Raw genomic sequence first — 15,041 nt, forward strand, 5'->3', positions numbered from 1 at the left:
AGAGAGAGAGAGAAAGGAAAGAAAGGAAGGAAGAGGGGGAGGAGAGGGAAGTGGAGGGAAGGGGAGGGAAGGGAAGCAGAGGGAAGGGAAGACCAGAAGCCATTTGCTTTTACATTTTAGAGCCCAAAGTACACTTGCACAGTCTTGCCTGAAGTTTGTGTCAACTTCTTGGTTCTCTGTCATGATGTAGTCCACAGAGACCTTGATTATCTTGACCTAGCACGTAACAAAGAAGTAGAAAGTACTTTTAGATGCCTTAATAAAACATGAAATAAAGGATGGGAGGGAAATATCACAAAAACTCATGGGCCTGGTACTTCAGAGAACTATCTGGTGGTCCAAATTCTGTAAATCGGCTGGGCACGGTGGCTCAAACCTGTAATCCCAGCACTTTGGGAGCCCAAGGCAGGCGGATCACTTGAGGTCAGGAGTTAGAGACCAGCCCGGCCAACATGGTGAAACTCCGTCTCTACTAAAAATACAAAAATTAGCTGGGCGTGGTGGTACACGCCTGTAGTCCTAGCTACTTGGAAGGCTGAGGCTCTTGCTTGAACCTGGGAGGCAGAGGTTGCAGTGAGCCGAGATCGCGCCACTGCTCTCCAGCCTGGCAACAGAGCAAGACTCTGCCTCCAAAAAAAAAAAAAGTAATAATTATAGGCCAGGCATGGTGGTTCATACCTGTAATCCCAGCACTTTGGGAGGCCAAGGTGGGTGAGTTGCTTGAGCCCAGGAGTTCAAGACCAGCCTGGACAACATGGTGAAACCCCATCTCTACCAAAAAAAAATTTTTTTAATTATAAAATAAATATAAGATGAATATATTTATAAATAATTTGTAGTTATACATACACATATATAAATATATAAATAAATACATGTATATAATTTTCTCTTCTCCTTTTATTATTTTATGCAAATTTTGTTTAACTTTACAATTCAGTTTTAAGTAATAGCATTTCCAGACAGGAAAGTGACTGATTTTGAGGAGTTATTAACATATCCCAGGGCAGTGCGGAGCCGGGACAGTCGCGGCGCTGACGCCCGCGGGCCCCAGCTGCAGATATGAAGCGGAGCCGCTGCCGCGACCGACCGCAGCCGCCGCCGCCCGACCGCCGGGAGGATGGAGTTCAGCGGGCAGCGGAGCTGTCTCAGTCTTTGCCGCCGCGCCAGCGAGCGCCGCCCGGGAGGCAGCGGCTGGAGGAGCGGACGGGCCCCGCGGGGCCCGAGGGCAAGGAGCAGCCGCCTGCCTTGGCCTCCCAAAGTGCCGAGATTGCAGCCTCTGCCCGGCCGCCACCCCGTCTGGGAAGTGAGGAGTGTCTCTGCCTGGCCGCCCATCGTCTGGGATGTGAGGAGCCCCTCTGCCTGGCTGCCCAGTCTGTAAAGTGAGGAGCGTCTCCGCCCGGCCGCCATCCCATCTAGGAAGTGAGGAGCGCCTCTTCCCAGCCGCCATCACATCTAGGAAGTGAGGAGCGTCTCTGCCCGGCCGCCCATCGTCTGAGATGTGGGGAGCGCCTCTGCCCCGCCGCCCCATCTGGGATGTGAGGAGCGCCTCTGCCCGGCGGAGACCCCGTCTGGGAGGTGAGGAGCGTCTCTGCCCGGCCGCCCCGTCTGAGAAGTGAGGAGACCCTCTGCCTGGCAACCACCCCGTCTGAGAAGTGAGGAGCCCCTCCGCCCGGCAGCTGCCCCGTCTGAGAAGTGAGGAGCCTCTCCGCCCGGCAGCCACCCCATCTGGGAAATGAGGAGCGTCTCCGCCCGGCAGCCACCCCGTCCGGGAGGGAGGTGGGGGGGGGTCAGCCCCCCGCCCGGCCAGCCGCCCCATCCGGGAGGGAGGTGGGGGGGTCAGCCCCCCGCCTGGCCAGCCGTGCCGTCCGGGAGGGAGGTGGGGGGGTCAGCCCCCCGCCCGGCCAGCCGCCCCGTCCGGGAGGTGAGGGGCGCCTCTGCCCGGCCACCCCTACTGGGAAGTGAGGAGCCCCTCAGCCCGGCCAGCCACCCCGTCCGGGAGGGAGATGGGGGGGTCAGCCCCCCCACCCGGCCAGCCGCCCCGTCCGGGAGGGAGGTGGGGGGGTCAGCCCCCCGCCTGGCCAGCCGCCCCGTCCGGGAGGGAGGTTGGGGGGTCAGCCCTCCGCCCGGCCAGCCGCCCCGTCTGGGAGGTGAGGGGCGCCTCTGCCCAGCTGCCCCTACTGGGAAGTGAGGAGCCCCTCTGCCCGGCCAGCCGCCCCGTCCGGGAGGGAGGTTGGGGGATCAGCCCCCCGCCCGGCCAGCCGCCCTGTCCGGGAGGGAGGTGGGGGGGTCAGCCCTCCGCCCGGCCAGCCGCCCCATCTGGGAGGTGAGGGGCGACTCTGCCCGGCCGCCCCTACTGGGAAGTGAGGAGCCCCTCTGCCCGGCCAGCCGCCCCATCAGGGAGGGAGGTGGGGGTGTCGGCCCCCCGCCCGGCCAGCCGCCCCGTCCGGGAGGGAGGTGGGGGTGTCGGCCCCCCGCCCGGCCAGCCGCCCCGTCCGGGAGGGAGGTGGGGGGGTCGGCCCCCCGCCCGGCCAGCCGCCCCGTCCGGGAGGGAGGTGGGGGTGTCGGCCCCCCGCCCGGCCAGCCGCCCCGTCCGGGAGGGAGGTGGGGGTGTCGGCCCCCCGCCCGGCCAGCCGCCCCGTCCGGGAGGGAGGTGGGGGTGTCGGCCCCCCGCCCGGCCAGCCGCCCCGTCCGGGAGGGAGGTGGGGGGGTCGGCCCCCCGCCCGGCCAGCCGCCCCGTCCGGGAGGGAGGTGGGGGGGTCGGCCCCCTGCCCGGCCAGCCGCCCCGTCCGGGAGGGAGGTTGGGGGGTCAGCCCCCCGCCGGGCCAGCCGCCCCGTCCGGGAGGTGAGGGGCGCCTCTGCCCGGCCGCCCCTACTGGGAAGTGAGGAGCCCCTCTGCCCGGCCACCACCCCGTCTGGGAGGTGTGCCCAACAGCTCATTGAGAACGGGCCAGGATGACAATGGCGGCTTTGTGGAATAGAAAGGCGGGAAAGGTGGGGAAAAGATTGAGAAATCGGATGGTTGCCGTGTCTGTGTAGAAAGAAGTAGACATGGGAGACTTTTCATTTTGTTCTGCACTAAGAAAAATTCCTCTGCCTTGGAAAAAAAAAAAAAAACATATCCCAGAGATAGATAGAATGACTGTTGAGAGTCCGCATTTCTGGCGAGGCGCAGTGGCTCATGCCTGTAGTCCTAGCACTTTGGGAGGCTGAGGCGGGCAGATTGCCTGAGCTCAGGAGTTCATGACCAGCCTGGGCAACATGGCAAAACCCCATCTCTACTAAATATACAAAAAATTGGCTGGGCGAGGTGGCTCACGCCTGTAATCCTAGCACTTTGGGAGGCTGAGGTGGGCAGATCAGTTGAGGTCAGGAGTTCCAGACCAGCCTGACCAACATGCTGAAACCCCGTCTCTACTAAAAATACAAAAATTAGCTGGGTGTGGTGGTGGACGCCTGTAATCCCAGCTGCTCGGGAGGCTGAGGGAAGAGAATTGCTTGAGCCCAGGAGGTGGAAGTTGCAGTGAGCCAAGATCGCGCCACTGCACTCCAGCCTGGGCAACAGAGCGAGACTCATCCCAAAAAAAAAAAAAAAAAGGCCGGTTGGTGGCTCATGCCTGTAATCCCAGCACTTGGAGGCTGAGGCGGGCAGATCTTGAGGTCAGGAGTTTGAGACCAACGTGACCAACATGGAGAAACCCCGTCTCTACTAATAATACAAAAATTAGCTGGGTGTGGTGGCACGTGCCTGTAGTCCCAGCTACTCAGGAGGCTGAGGCAGAAGAATCGCTTGAACCCGGGAGGTGGAGGTTGCAGTGAGTCAAGATTGGGCCACTGCACTCCAGCCTGGGTGACAGAGCAAGACTGTCTTAAAAAAAAAAAAAAAGTCAGCCGGGCATGGTGGCGTGTGCTTGTAGTCCCAGCTTTTTGGGAGGCTGAGGCAGGAGAATCGCTTCAACCTGGGATGTAGTGGTTGCAGTGAGCCGAGATCATGCCACTACACTCCAAGCCTGAGTGACAGAGCAAGACTCTGTCTCCAAAAAACAGATTCCACATTTGTTCATTTTGGTGGAGTGGGTGAGAATGTACTTATACAAAAGATAGTTGTATAGTTGCACTTTGTTAGGTGGAAGACTGGAGTTGCCTTGTTATATGGAGGTTCAAAAATGTAGAGGCAGGCCAAGAGCGGTGGCTCACTCCCGTAGTCCCAGTACTGTGGGAGGCCAAGGTGGGCGGATCATGAGGTTAGGAGTTCAAGACCAGCCTGGCCAACATGGTGAAACCCCATCTCTACTAAAAATACAAAAATTAGCTGGGCTTGGTGGTGGGCACCAGCTGCTTGGGAGGCTGAGGCAGGAGAATCAATTGAGCCCAGGAGGCAGAGGTTGCAGTGAGCCAAGATCGCGCCATTGCACTCCAGCCTGGGAGATACGTCAAGACTCAGTCTCAAAAAATAATAATAATAATAATGTAGAGGCAAGTGCATGTGGATACTGAGTAGCCAAAGAGGTGGACTGTGCCCAATATTATTACCTGAGCTCCAAACCAGCCTGTCTATACTCAGCTTTGAGTTACTGAGGCTGGGGCTCTGCAAGACACACTTCTGCTTTACCAGCTAGATCTATGTTTGGCTCTGCTAATAGGGGGCACTAGAGGGAGACCGCAGAGCTGGAAGGGAAGAAGAGATTGGCTCCTTCTATTACTTTCAGTTCCTATGAGTGAACCTAACAGTGCTCCTTCATCCCTGACAGAAGTAGTACTTTTCTGCAGTAGAGCCGATTTTAGTTTGCAGGTATTTCTGATTGCAGAACCAAGTTTATCATGCCTCACCTCAAAGACACCAGCATTGCTGTATGCGGTGGTGTGCACCTATAGAACCAGCCACTCAGGAAGCTGAGGGGGAAGGATAGCTTGAGCCCAGGAGTTCAAAGCTGGTAGTGTGCTAAGGTCATGCCTATAAATAGGCACCGCCCTCTAGGTTGGGCAACATAGCAAGACCCCACCTCTTTAAAAAATAAACAAAAACCATAATCTGGTTGGCACTCTTCCTCTTCCTTAGTTTCTGCTCTAAGCTTCTAATTTGTAATAATTCCAACCTATTTTCTTTGTTCCCTCAGCCAAGGAGTTCATAGCTGCTTCCTGCTGTTACTGCCTCTGCGATACTGTAACCTTTCAGTTATCCTGGGCTCAAGTGATCTTCCCACATCAGCCTCCTGAACAGCTGGGACTACAGATGCACACCACCAGGCCTGGATAATTTTTTTTTTTTTTTGAGATGGAGTCTTGCTCTGTCGCCCAGGCTGGAGTGCAGTGGCACAATCTTGGCTCACTGCAAGCTCCGCCTCCTGGGTTCACGCCATTCTCCTGCCTCAGCCTCCCGAGTAGCTGGGACTACAGGTGCCCACCACCACGCCCAACTATTTTTTTGTATTTTTAGTAGAGACGGGGTTTCACTATGTTAGCCAGGATGGTCTTGATTTCCTGACCTCGTGATCCGCCTGTCTCGGCCTCCCAAAGTGCTGGGATTACAGGTGTGAGCCACTGCACCCAGCCCAGGTCTGGATAATTTTTAAATTTTTTTGTAGGGACATAGTATCCCTATGTTGCCCAGGCTGGTCTTGAACCCCTGGATTCAAGCAATACTCCCACCTTGGCCTTCCAAAGTGGTGGGATTACAGGCGTGAGCCACTGTGCCCAGCCCTTACTTTTTATATAAATTGACAATTATTTATTTATAATTTTATTTTGCTCAAGGAACTCAGTTCAAGTATTTCTTTTCTTTTTTTCTTTTCTTTTTTTTTTTTTTTTTGAGACAAGGTCTCACTCTGTCGCCAAGGCTAGAAGTGCAGTGGTGTGATCATGGCTCACTGCAACGTCCACCCCGCTGGGCTCAAGCCGTCCCTCTGCCTCAGCCTCCTGAGTAACTGGGACCACAGGCACACACCACCATGTTCAGCTAATTTTTTTTTTTTGTATTTTTTTTAATAGAGATAGGATTTCACCATGTTGTCCAGGCTGCAAATAATTCTTTTTTTTTTTTTTTGAGACAGAGTCTCACTCTGCTGCCCAGGCTGGAGTGCAGTGGCGCGATCTCAGCTCACCACAACCTCTGCCTCCAGGGTTCAGGCAATTCTCCTGCCTCAGCCTCCCGAGTAGCTGAGACTAGAGGTGTGTGCCACCATGCCTGGCTAATTTTTGTATTTTTAGTAGAGACAGGGTTTCACTACATTGGCCAGGCTGGTCTCGAACTCCTGACCTTGTGATCCTCCCGCCTTGGCCTCCCAAAAATGTTGGGATTACAAGCGTGAACCACTGTGCCTGGCCAATTCTTTATATTAAATTATTTCTGTTCAAACAACTGGGATGGTTTCTGTCTCCTGACTAGAGTCTGACTGATTCAGACACCAACAGTGGCCAACCATATCCTACTCTGATTCTTTCCAACTCCTTCCCTTATAGTTGCAGGGTGAGTGGGCATAGCATTTACCTTCCACATTATTGAAGATGACAATTTTACCAAATATTTTGCTACAGCATAATAGAGATCTCCAGCCATCCAGCCTGGTTTACTTAATCTAGTATATGGCACTGAATTAAAGATCAGGCAGTAATCCACTGCCTGGCCATTAATTCAGTGCCATATATTTTTGTTTTTATTATATCGACATCCCACTCCTGATACAACTTTCTGTATTAATAAGGATCAGTTAATTGCTGTAGTAAACAACCTCTCAAACTCATTGGCTTATATAACAAAACTGTATTTCTTGCTCACTTCAGTGTTTAATATGTTAGTCATAGTAGAGGAAAGGTCTGCTCTGCACAATTATGCAGGGACCCAAGTTCCTTCCATCTTGTGGCTCCACCCTCTTCTAGGTTCTCAGAATCTCCTCTACTCTGCTAGCAGATAGGAAGGAGGGCAAGGATCAGCACCTGGGAGATTTGTGGGCCATCCTGGGAGTAGTACCTTTCACTTCCACTAGCTAGAATTCATTCGCATGGCCACATCTGTCTGTTAAAGAAGCCGGGAACTATAGGTATTGGTGAGAACAAGAGGTTTATACTACATTAAATGGCTCATTGGTGACATTTACGATAAGTTTTAGGGGAGTGATGTAGACAGGGGCCAACTTGTAAAAAGTTAGGAAATCATAGGGGATGAGGGATTTTGCCATGATGCCCAGGCTGATCTCGAACTCCTGAGCTGAAGCCAGCTGCCTGCCTCAGCTTCCCAAAGTGCTGGGATGGCAGGCATGTGCCACCATGCCCTGCCTGGTAGCAACTCTTTAATATGATCCTAATGATAATGAGAAAGATAAATCTGAACTAAGGTGAGAAGGTAGCCAACCATGGGAAGCTCCATTGGGTTTTTTAGGGTTTTCTTTTCTTTTTTTCTCGAGACGAAGTCTTGCTCTGTCGCCTAGGCTGGAGTGCAATGGCATGATCTCGGGTCACTGCAACCTCCGCCTCCCAGGTTCAAGCAATTCTCCTGCCTCAGCCTCCCGAGTAGCTGGGATTACAGGCGCATGCCACCATGCCCAGCTAATTTTTTGTATTTTTTTAGTAGAGATGAGGTTTCACCATGTTGGCCAGGCTGTTCTCGAACTTCTGACCTTGTGATCCACCCGCCTCGGCTTCCCAAAGTGCTGGGATGTGAGCCACCACGCCTGGCTTTTTTTTTTTTTTTTTTTTTTAGACAGGGTCTTGCTCTGTCACCAGGCTGGAGTGCAGTGGCGTAATCACAGCTCACTGCAGCCTTGACTTCCTGGACTCAGGCAAACCTCCCACCACAGCCTTCCAAGTAGCTGGAACTACAGGTGCATGCCACCATGTCCAGCTAATTTTTAATTATTTTTGTAGAGGTGGCATCTCGCAATGTTGCTGAGGCTGGTCTTGAACTCCTGGGTTCAAGCAATCCTCCCACCTTGGCCTCCCAAAATGCTGACATTATAGATGTGAGCACTGCGCCCAGCCTTGCTTTTTAATTGATGTAGAATTGAGCATGTGTTTGCGGTATTAATGAACAGGAAGAGAGATAGGACATGAGTTTGGAGTTCTATTGGGCTTAAATAAATAAATAAAATGGAGTTCCATCAGCCTTACTTAAAAAAAAAAAAAAAAGAGGCCAGGTGCAGTGGCTCACACCTGTAATCTCAACCCTTTGGGAGGCCGAGGCAGGCGGATCATCTGAGGTCAGGAGTTCGAGACCAACCTGGCCAACATGGTGAAACCCCGTCTCTATTAAAAATACAAAAATTAGCCGGGCATGATGGCACATGCCTGTAATCCCAGCTACTTGGGAGGCTGAGGCAGGAGAATCACTTGAACCCAGGAGGCAGAGGTTGCAGTGAGCCGAGGTCATGCCATTGCACTCCAGCCTGGGTGACAAGAGCGAAACTCCATCTCAAAAAAATAAAAAATAAAATAAAATAAGGATATGAGTGGAGGGTTGGCCATGGACAGAAGGAGGCCCACATCTTCTAAAAAAGAAGAAAGGACAGATGCAAATAAAGAGAAATTATGAGATAGAGAGGAGGTAAACTGAAAATCCAGTAGGATTGCTTTGGTTTCTGTAAAGTGACGAGAAAAAAGAAAAGGTTTCAGGTTGCAAGAGGACCCAGTTAAGGTGGGACAACAGGAATCTGTACTGGAACCAGTATGTCTAGTTTTGTGACTTTGTTCCACAGCCAAGGAGCAAAAAGGGAGGAAGCTCACCATGTGGTTTGCTCAAGATGGGGCTCATCATATTGAGAGCCTTTGGCACCAAAGGCACGGCTGAGCAGCCTTTGGCATATATATCAATTATTGATCCTTAAGGTCACTGTTGTCGGCTTCCTACTCCTCCCCATTGTATATTTTTACTTCCTTTTTTACTTTCTCCTAGTCTCCAGTTCTTTTTTTCCTTGCACTTTTCCTTAGGTTTTACAGTAACCACAGTGTGACAGACATACCCTAAGCTGACCCCCAATGATTCCTGCCTCCTGGTATTTACGCCTTGTGTGATTCCCTTTTCTTGAGTGCAGATGGCTCCTGTGCTTTGCTTTTAACCATAGGAGATGGCAATGATGATGGGATGCCACTCTGTCACATATATAGTAAGTTATATAAAACTCTATCATCATAGTCTGGAGCTAGAGACCCTCATTGTCAGTTTCAAGAAACTAAGTGGCTATGTAGGAGAAACCTGCATGGCAAGGAAATGTGATAATCTCTAGGAACTGCAGGTGGCTTTTGGATCCTGAGAGAGGCCTCCAGCAGACACCCAGCAAAAATCCCAGGCCCTCCTCAGTTATACAGTCACCCAGCAAAAATCCCAGGCCCTCTTCAGTTAAACAGTCGCAAGGAAGTTAATTCTGCCAATAACCCAAATGGGCTTGCAAGTGGATTCTTCCCTGGCTGAGTCTCCAGATGAGAATGCAGCCTGATTGCAGCCTTGTGAGACTAAGCAGAGGACCCAGCTAAGCTGTTCTCTGGCTCCTGACCTGGAACCTGTTAGATAACGTTTGTTTTTTGTTTTTTTTGAGACGGAGTCTTGCTCTGTCACCAGGCCGGGTGCAATGGCACAATCTCGGCTCACTGCAACCTCCACCTCCTGGGTTCAAGCAATTCTCCTGCCTCAGCCTCCCGAGTAGCTGGGACTATAGATGCCGTGCCACCATGCCCAGCTAATTTTTTATTTTTAGTAGAGACGGGGTTTCACCATATTGGCCAGGATGGTCTCTCTCGACCTTGTGATCCACCCACCTCGGCCTCCCAAAGTGCTGGGATTACAGGCGTGAGACACCGCGCCCGGCCGATAATGTTTGTTTTAAGCCTTAAATTTGTGGTAACTTGTTACACAGCAGTAGAAAATGAATACTCCCAGAATTCCTGAAAAAACACTGGGGCCCTCAGGCATGACCCCTCTACATTATGTGCTACCTAGGAAAATCTGGGCCTGGGCCCAGGACACAGAACTTGGTGAACGAGGCCAGAGGGTGTGCCACACACCTCCAGTGGGCACTCTGGACTTCAAGGTAGAAGAGGTCCTGGCTTTCAAAGCAAATCGTGTGCCCCACCTCCCCGCGCCTGCCTGCCTCTGCAAATGCCTGTCAGTTCGACCCTCAGAGATGGGCGAAGCCTGGGGAATTACAGACTGCCAGAAGTAGATCACGAAGTCCACCACCTGAATCTCGGCGTTTGGCACCGTGCCTGGTACACAGTGGACGCCCAACAAACGGCTTGCTTGCAGAACAGAAAGAGCCCTCGAGTGCGCGTCTGCTGGCCCCCTCTTTGTGCAGAAGGGAAAAGGGAGACTGGGAGGGCCGGGGACCTGCGGGGCCCCGCCGCGGGTCAGAGCTGGGCCTCCGGCCAAGCGCCATCCCGGGCCCAGGCGGAGGGGGCGCTGCGGCGGGAGGCCGCGGCGGGCGGTGGCGGCGGGCCGGGGGCGGAGCGATGGCGGGGCCGCCCCAGTGAGTGAGCGAGCGAGCGCCGCGCGCGCCGCCGCTGCCACCTCCGCTGCTCGGCCCGGTCCCGGAGTGGCCCGGCCGGCCCGCGGGGCGCGGAGCCGAGGCCCGCGGCTGGCTGCATGAAGGACTGCGAGTACCAGCAGATCAGCCCCGGGGCCGCCCCGCTGCCCGCCTCCCCGGGGGCGCGCCGTCCCGGCCCCGCCGCGTCCCCGACTCCGGGCCCCGGGCCCGCGCCGCCCGCCGCCCCCGCCCCGCCGCGCTGGAGCAGCAGCGGCAGCGGCAGCGGCAGCGGGAGCGGGAGCCTCGGCCGCCGCCCACGGCGCAAGTGGGAGGTGTTCCCGGGTCGCAATCGCTTCTACTGCGGCGGCCGCCTCATGCTGGCCGGCCACGGCGGCGTCTTCGCGCTCACGCTGCTGCTCATCCTCACCACCACCGGCCTCTTCTTCGTCTTTGAGTGAGTTCCGCTGCCTCGGCGCCCCCTCCCAGCCCCCTGCCGCGCACCCCACCTTCCCAATCCCTGCTGGGCACTCCGTGCCTTCCCCTTCGCCTCCCTGGTCCTCATCCTCCCCGCCCCTTTGGGATCCTCCTCGGGCCTCTTGTCTGCCCCCCTGGCCCCTGCGCACCCCCATCCCCGCCAGATGCCCCATCCTCCTTGGTCCATTTGGGTACCCCATCCGCGCTGGTGCCCTCCACCCTCCCAGCCCCTCCATTCTCCCTGACCCCACCCTGGCACCTGTCTGCCTGCCACTGCCAGGAACACCAGCCTCCATGCCCCTCCACGGCCCCCATCCTCGCTGCCCTCTCAGAACCTGCCCCAGGGCTTCTTGAACAGGCCCCTCCTGCTCACCCATCCCTGGACCATCTCTTGCCAACCCCCCAAGTTCTTTCTGACCCTTGTATCCCTTCCTGACCACTTCTAGATCTTGTGTGTCCTTTGGCTGTGCACACCCACCATAAACATCCTAGTCATCCTCGCTGCCCTCTCCGGGTCCCTCCAGGGTCCCCTCCTTTTCTCTAGTCTCAGACACCAACCCCGCTTTTGCTTCCCCTCAGCCACGCACACCCTAGGCCCCAAGGCATCTTTTCTCAAAATCTTTGGGCCTCTCGGGCCCCCTTTCCTTCTCCAGAACCTTCCTTAGGTTCTCCAGAGCTTCCTGTCCTTCCCTCAGATCCCGCCCGCCTCCACCCAGCCGGCTCCCAGGCCCCTGGCCCCCCTGCTGACCACCTGGCTTTCTTTCCCTGCTCAACATTCTGGAACGTCCCTCTGGCCTGTTCCACATCAGCAACAGCTGCGGTGCCTTGTTGTTTTTCAGGAAAGACTTCGGAGTGCTTTCGTGTGACAGGTCATATTTGCCCCCCTAGGTTTTTGTCCTCTTCATATCCCCCGGTGACCCAGGATTGGCCCACACATAATCTCCATTTTATGGATGGAGGGTCATATATTTGTATTAGAAGTTTTCCACCCACCTCTGAGCCACCTGCACTGTGATTCCTTGCACACACACTCACACGCCCACCCACCCACCCTTGCTTCATAAGCCCTGCTGTCCCCTCCCAACTCCCCATCCTTTGTGGTTGTTCCTCTTAATTATACAGTGTAGTTAAGAACTCTAACAGACCTGGTTCAAATCCCAGCTCCACCACCCACTAATTGCGTGACCTCAGGGCAGTCACTTCACCCCCTCAGTGCCCCAGTTTCCTCATCAGTAAAATGGGATTTATAATAGTACCCACCCCGTAAGGTTGTCCTGAGGGTGGCATGAGGTCACACATGCAAGCTTTTAGCCCAGTAACAAGCACACTATGTTGGCTGCTATTAGTACTTGTGTTGTCTTTATCAAAAAACACTTCCCAAGGGCATGTGGCCATGGTAAGGCTATCATAGAGACACCCGCCCCCAGGTACCCTTTCTAGCTGCCAGATCATGTATCTGCAACTTTGGGTTTCCCCTTGAAGCAAGGTGAAGACTTCCTATAAATTAGCTTCTCCCTTTACCCTTTAACCACACACTCTGCCCTTTTTTTTGAGTAGGGTGGATAAAAAGTTCAGGGATGATTTACAAGCAGAAGCTCTGGGGGGCCCAGAGCTCAGCTCTGGGCTGAGTTTCAGATCCACTTCCCTGGGCTGGCCACATGAGTGTTTTGGAAATGCCTTTTCTAGTATCCCCTGGGCTGCCCTCTCAGTCCCCACACCCAGGGCTGCAGCCGAGGCAGGAGGAAGCAGTACTTGCCGTGGTTGACCCACATGACCCTGCAGTGTGATATCTGGCCTAACTTCTGAACTAGAAGCAGGACCTTCTCTGGGTTGACCGGGTATCTTCACTGGTGACTGTTTTGTCCCCAGCGAGGGAGAAAGCAAGGACTTCTGGGTTTGGGGAGAGCTCGTGAACCATGTTGCAGTTTGTCCCCGCTTGTCCTCATTGGGGGCTGGTAGATTGGCAGAAGAGTTTGGGTTTGGGCCGAGAGCTCACCTGGGTCTGGACTGGATGCTCCCCATTGCTCTGGGAAAAGGTAAGGTGCTCTCTAAGCCTTTCCTGCTATGAATGGCTTTGCTTCTTTGTTTGGCTTGGTGGATTGTTGCACAGGCCTCCAGCAGGGCTCCCAACTTCTGCCTTACTTCTCGCCCCCACACAACAGCCAGAGTGCCCTTTTGATTCTAACTCAGGCCTGAATCCTCCCTGGCCTCTGTCCCCTGCTGTCTTCTGTCCCCGTCTTCCCTCCAGGCATGTCATCCTCCGTGCACACTCCTACCTCTGGGCCAGTGCTTGGAATCCCCTTCCTGCAGGTGGCCTCATGGCTCACTCTCTCACATTAGGCCTCCCCTGTCCATCCGCACAGCATAGCAAACCACTCCCCTCCTGCACCTCTCTTCTCCCCTCATTTATCGCTCTCTGAAGCATTTGCCACCACCTGACATATTATGGTATACTTGTTAGTTTCTGGTCTTTGCCCATGAGAGCAGGACATTCTCCTCTGTTGCACCCTTAGTGCCTAGAACTCGCACCTGGTATGCAGTAGGTGCTCAATACTTATTGAATGAATGAATTGACAGTGTATTTGAATTAATTGACAGTGTATTTGCTGGGAGGCTGGAAACCCTAGTTCTGTCATTGGCTGGCTAGATGACCTTGAACCTAGCTGTGGGCCTGGGAGAGCTGTTAGCCTCTGGCAAATCAGGAGGCTAGGACTTGGTGGTTCCTGCAGGCTCTACAAGTCTTAGATTTCAAGTCTTCTCTGTCCCCCCACACAAGTCTGATTGCATATGAACTGGATTCATTGCCATGTGGGTGACACTGAGCGCCCACTGGTTCTGTTTGAGGGTCAGACCCAGAAACCATTGAGATGTATGGAGCAGAGTGTGACCCACTGGGAGCCCTTGGCCTTGGCAGTCTGCTCCTCAGGGGAAGGGCTTCTCTGAAGGCCAGAGCATCTGATGACGGAGACTTCAGAAGCAGCATGCAGGTGCCCACAGGTGTGTGCCTACTGTGCCACTCCTGGAAGCTTGGTTGATCTCAGGCCTCCCAGGGCCCCGTCATCTCCTTACCTGATCAGGTGCTACTCTGGCTATGGGGTGATGGTTAAAAGTATGAACCTCAAAGTCAGACCTGGCTTGGGTCCCACTTTAGCACTCCTGAGCCATGTGACCTTGGGCAGATTACTTAAACTCTCTGAGCTCTAGTTTCTTCATCTGTAAAGTGGGGAGCATAACTTCACAGGGTCCCAGTGAGGATTTGATGAGAAAGTACACAGGAACTGCTTAGCCTGGTACCTGGCCCATCCAGGTACAGTAGTACAGTAACTATCTGTAGATAGTACAGTAACTATCTACATAGTACAGTAACTATCTGTACATAGCACAGTAACTATCTGTACTTTGGATGTTGCTAACAGTAGTTTATTAATTAGGGCAGTGTCTGGCACATAGTAAGCCTTCAAAAGATGGTAGCTATTTTTCTGTCCCCTGGCAGCAGTTATTTACCGGGTACGTCCTTGGTGCCAGGTGCTGTGCAGTGTGCTGGAAATATAAAGCTGAACAAGAGAACATAGTCTATACCCACAGAGGAGCTTATGTTTTTTTATGTTTGTTTGTTGTTGTTGTTGTTGTTGTTGTTGTTGAGATAGAGTTTTGCTCTTGTTGCCTAGGCTGGAGTGCAATGGCACGATCTCGGCTCACTGCAACCTCTGCCTCCCGGGTTCAAGTGATTCTCCTGTCTCAGCCTCCTGAGTAGCTGGGATTACAGGCACATGCTACCACACCCTGCTAATTTTTCTGTTTTTATTAGAGATGGGGTTTCATCTTATTGGTCAGGCTGGTCTCGAACTCCTGACCTCAGGTATCCGCCCACCTCAGCCTCCCAAAGTGCTGGGATTGCAGGCGTGAGCCACTGCGCCTGGCCAAGCTTATGTTTTAGTGAGAGAAAAATAGCCATCACATAGACAAGTAGCTGAAATCTATACTAAATGTTATACAGGAAAGAAAGAGCATTGAAGTTCACTGTGTACAGAGTTGTCAAGGTAGGTCCTTCTGAGGAGGGAAGAGGAATCTGAGAAAAGGAACAGCAAGTGCAAAGGCCCTGAGGTAGGAGAGAGCCAG

General features: G+C 53.7%; 1 protein-coding gene across 1 annotated transcript in view, besides 4 other annotated features; it reads left to right on the top strand.

The window, feature by feature from the left end:
• Positions 10,233–10,385: a silencer, noted in NCBI's record as "fragment chr1:27152961-27153113 (GRCh37/hg19 assembly coordinates)". NCBI's record gives its function as "represses an EF-1alpha promoter that drives an FKBP-Casp9 reporter gene in an ReSE screen in HepG2 liver carcinoma cells {active_cell/tissue: HepG2}" and the evidence as "EXISTENCE:reporter gene assay evidence [ECO:0000049][PMID:32094911]".
• Positions 10,233–10,498: a biological region, named in NCBI's record as "ReSE screen-validated silencer GRCh37_chr1:27152961-27153113".
• Positions 10,349–10,498: a silencer, noted in NCBI's record as "silent region_492". NCBI's record gives its function as "represses an Ori minimal core promoter by ATAC-STARR-seq in GM12878 lymphoblastoid cells {active_cell/tissue: GM12878}" and the evidence as "EXISTENCE:reporter gene assay evidence [ECO:0000049][PMID:35858748]".
• Positions 10,451–15,041, top strand: part of ZDHHC18 (zDHHC palmitoyltransferase 18) — a 30,917-nt gene continuing 26,326 nt past the window's right edge. The window contains exon 1 of the mRNA NM_032283.3: positions 10,451–10,902. Within this exon, the coding sequence (NP_115659.1) occupies positions 10,568–10,902 (335 nt within the window). The 5' untranslated portion in view covers positions 10,451–10,567. The remainder of the gene's footprint in view (positions 10,903–15,041) is intronic.
• Positions 10,509–10,718: a silencer, noted in NCBI's record as "silent region_493". NCBI's record gives its function as "represses an Ori minimal core promoter by ATAC-STARR-seq in GM12878 lymphoblastoid cells {active_cell/tissue: GM12878}" and the evidence as "EXISTENCE:reporter gene assay evidence [ECO:0000049][PMID:35858748]".

The sequence above is a fragment of the Homo sapiens genome, chromosome 1, assembly GCF_000001405.40.
Source record: "Homo sapiens chromosome 1, GRCh38.p14 Primary Assembly".
Classification (NCBI taxonomy): Eukaryota; Metazoa; Chordata; class Mammalia; order Primates; family Hominidae; genus Homo; species Homo sapiens.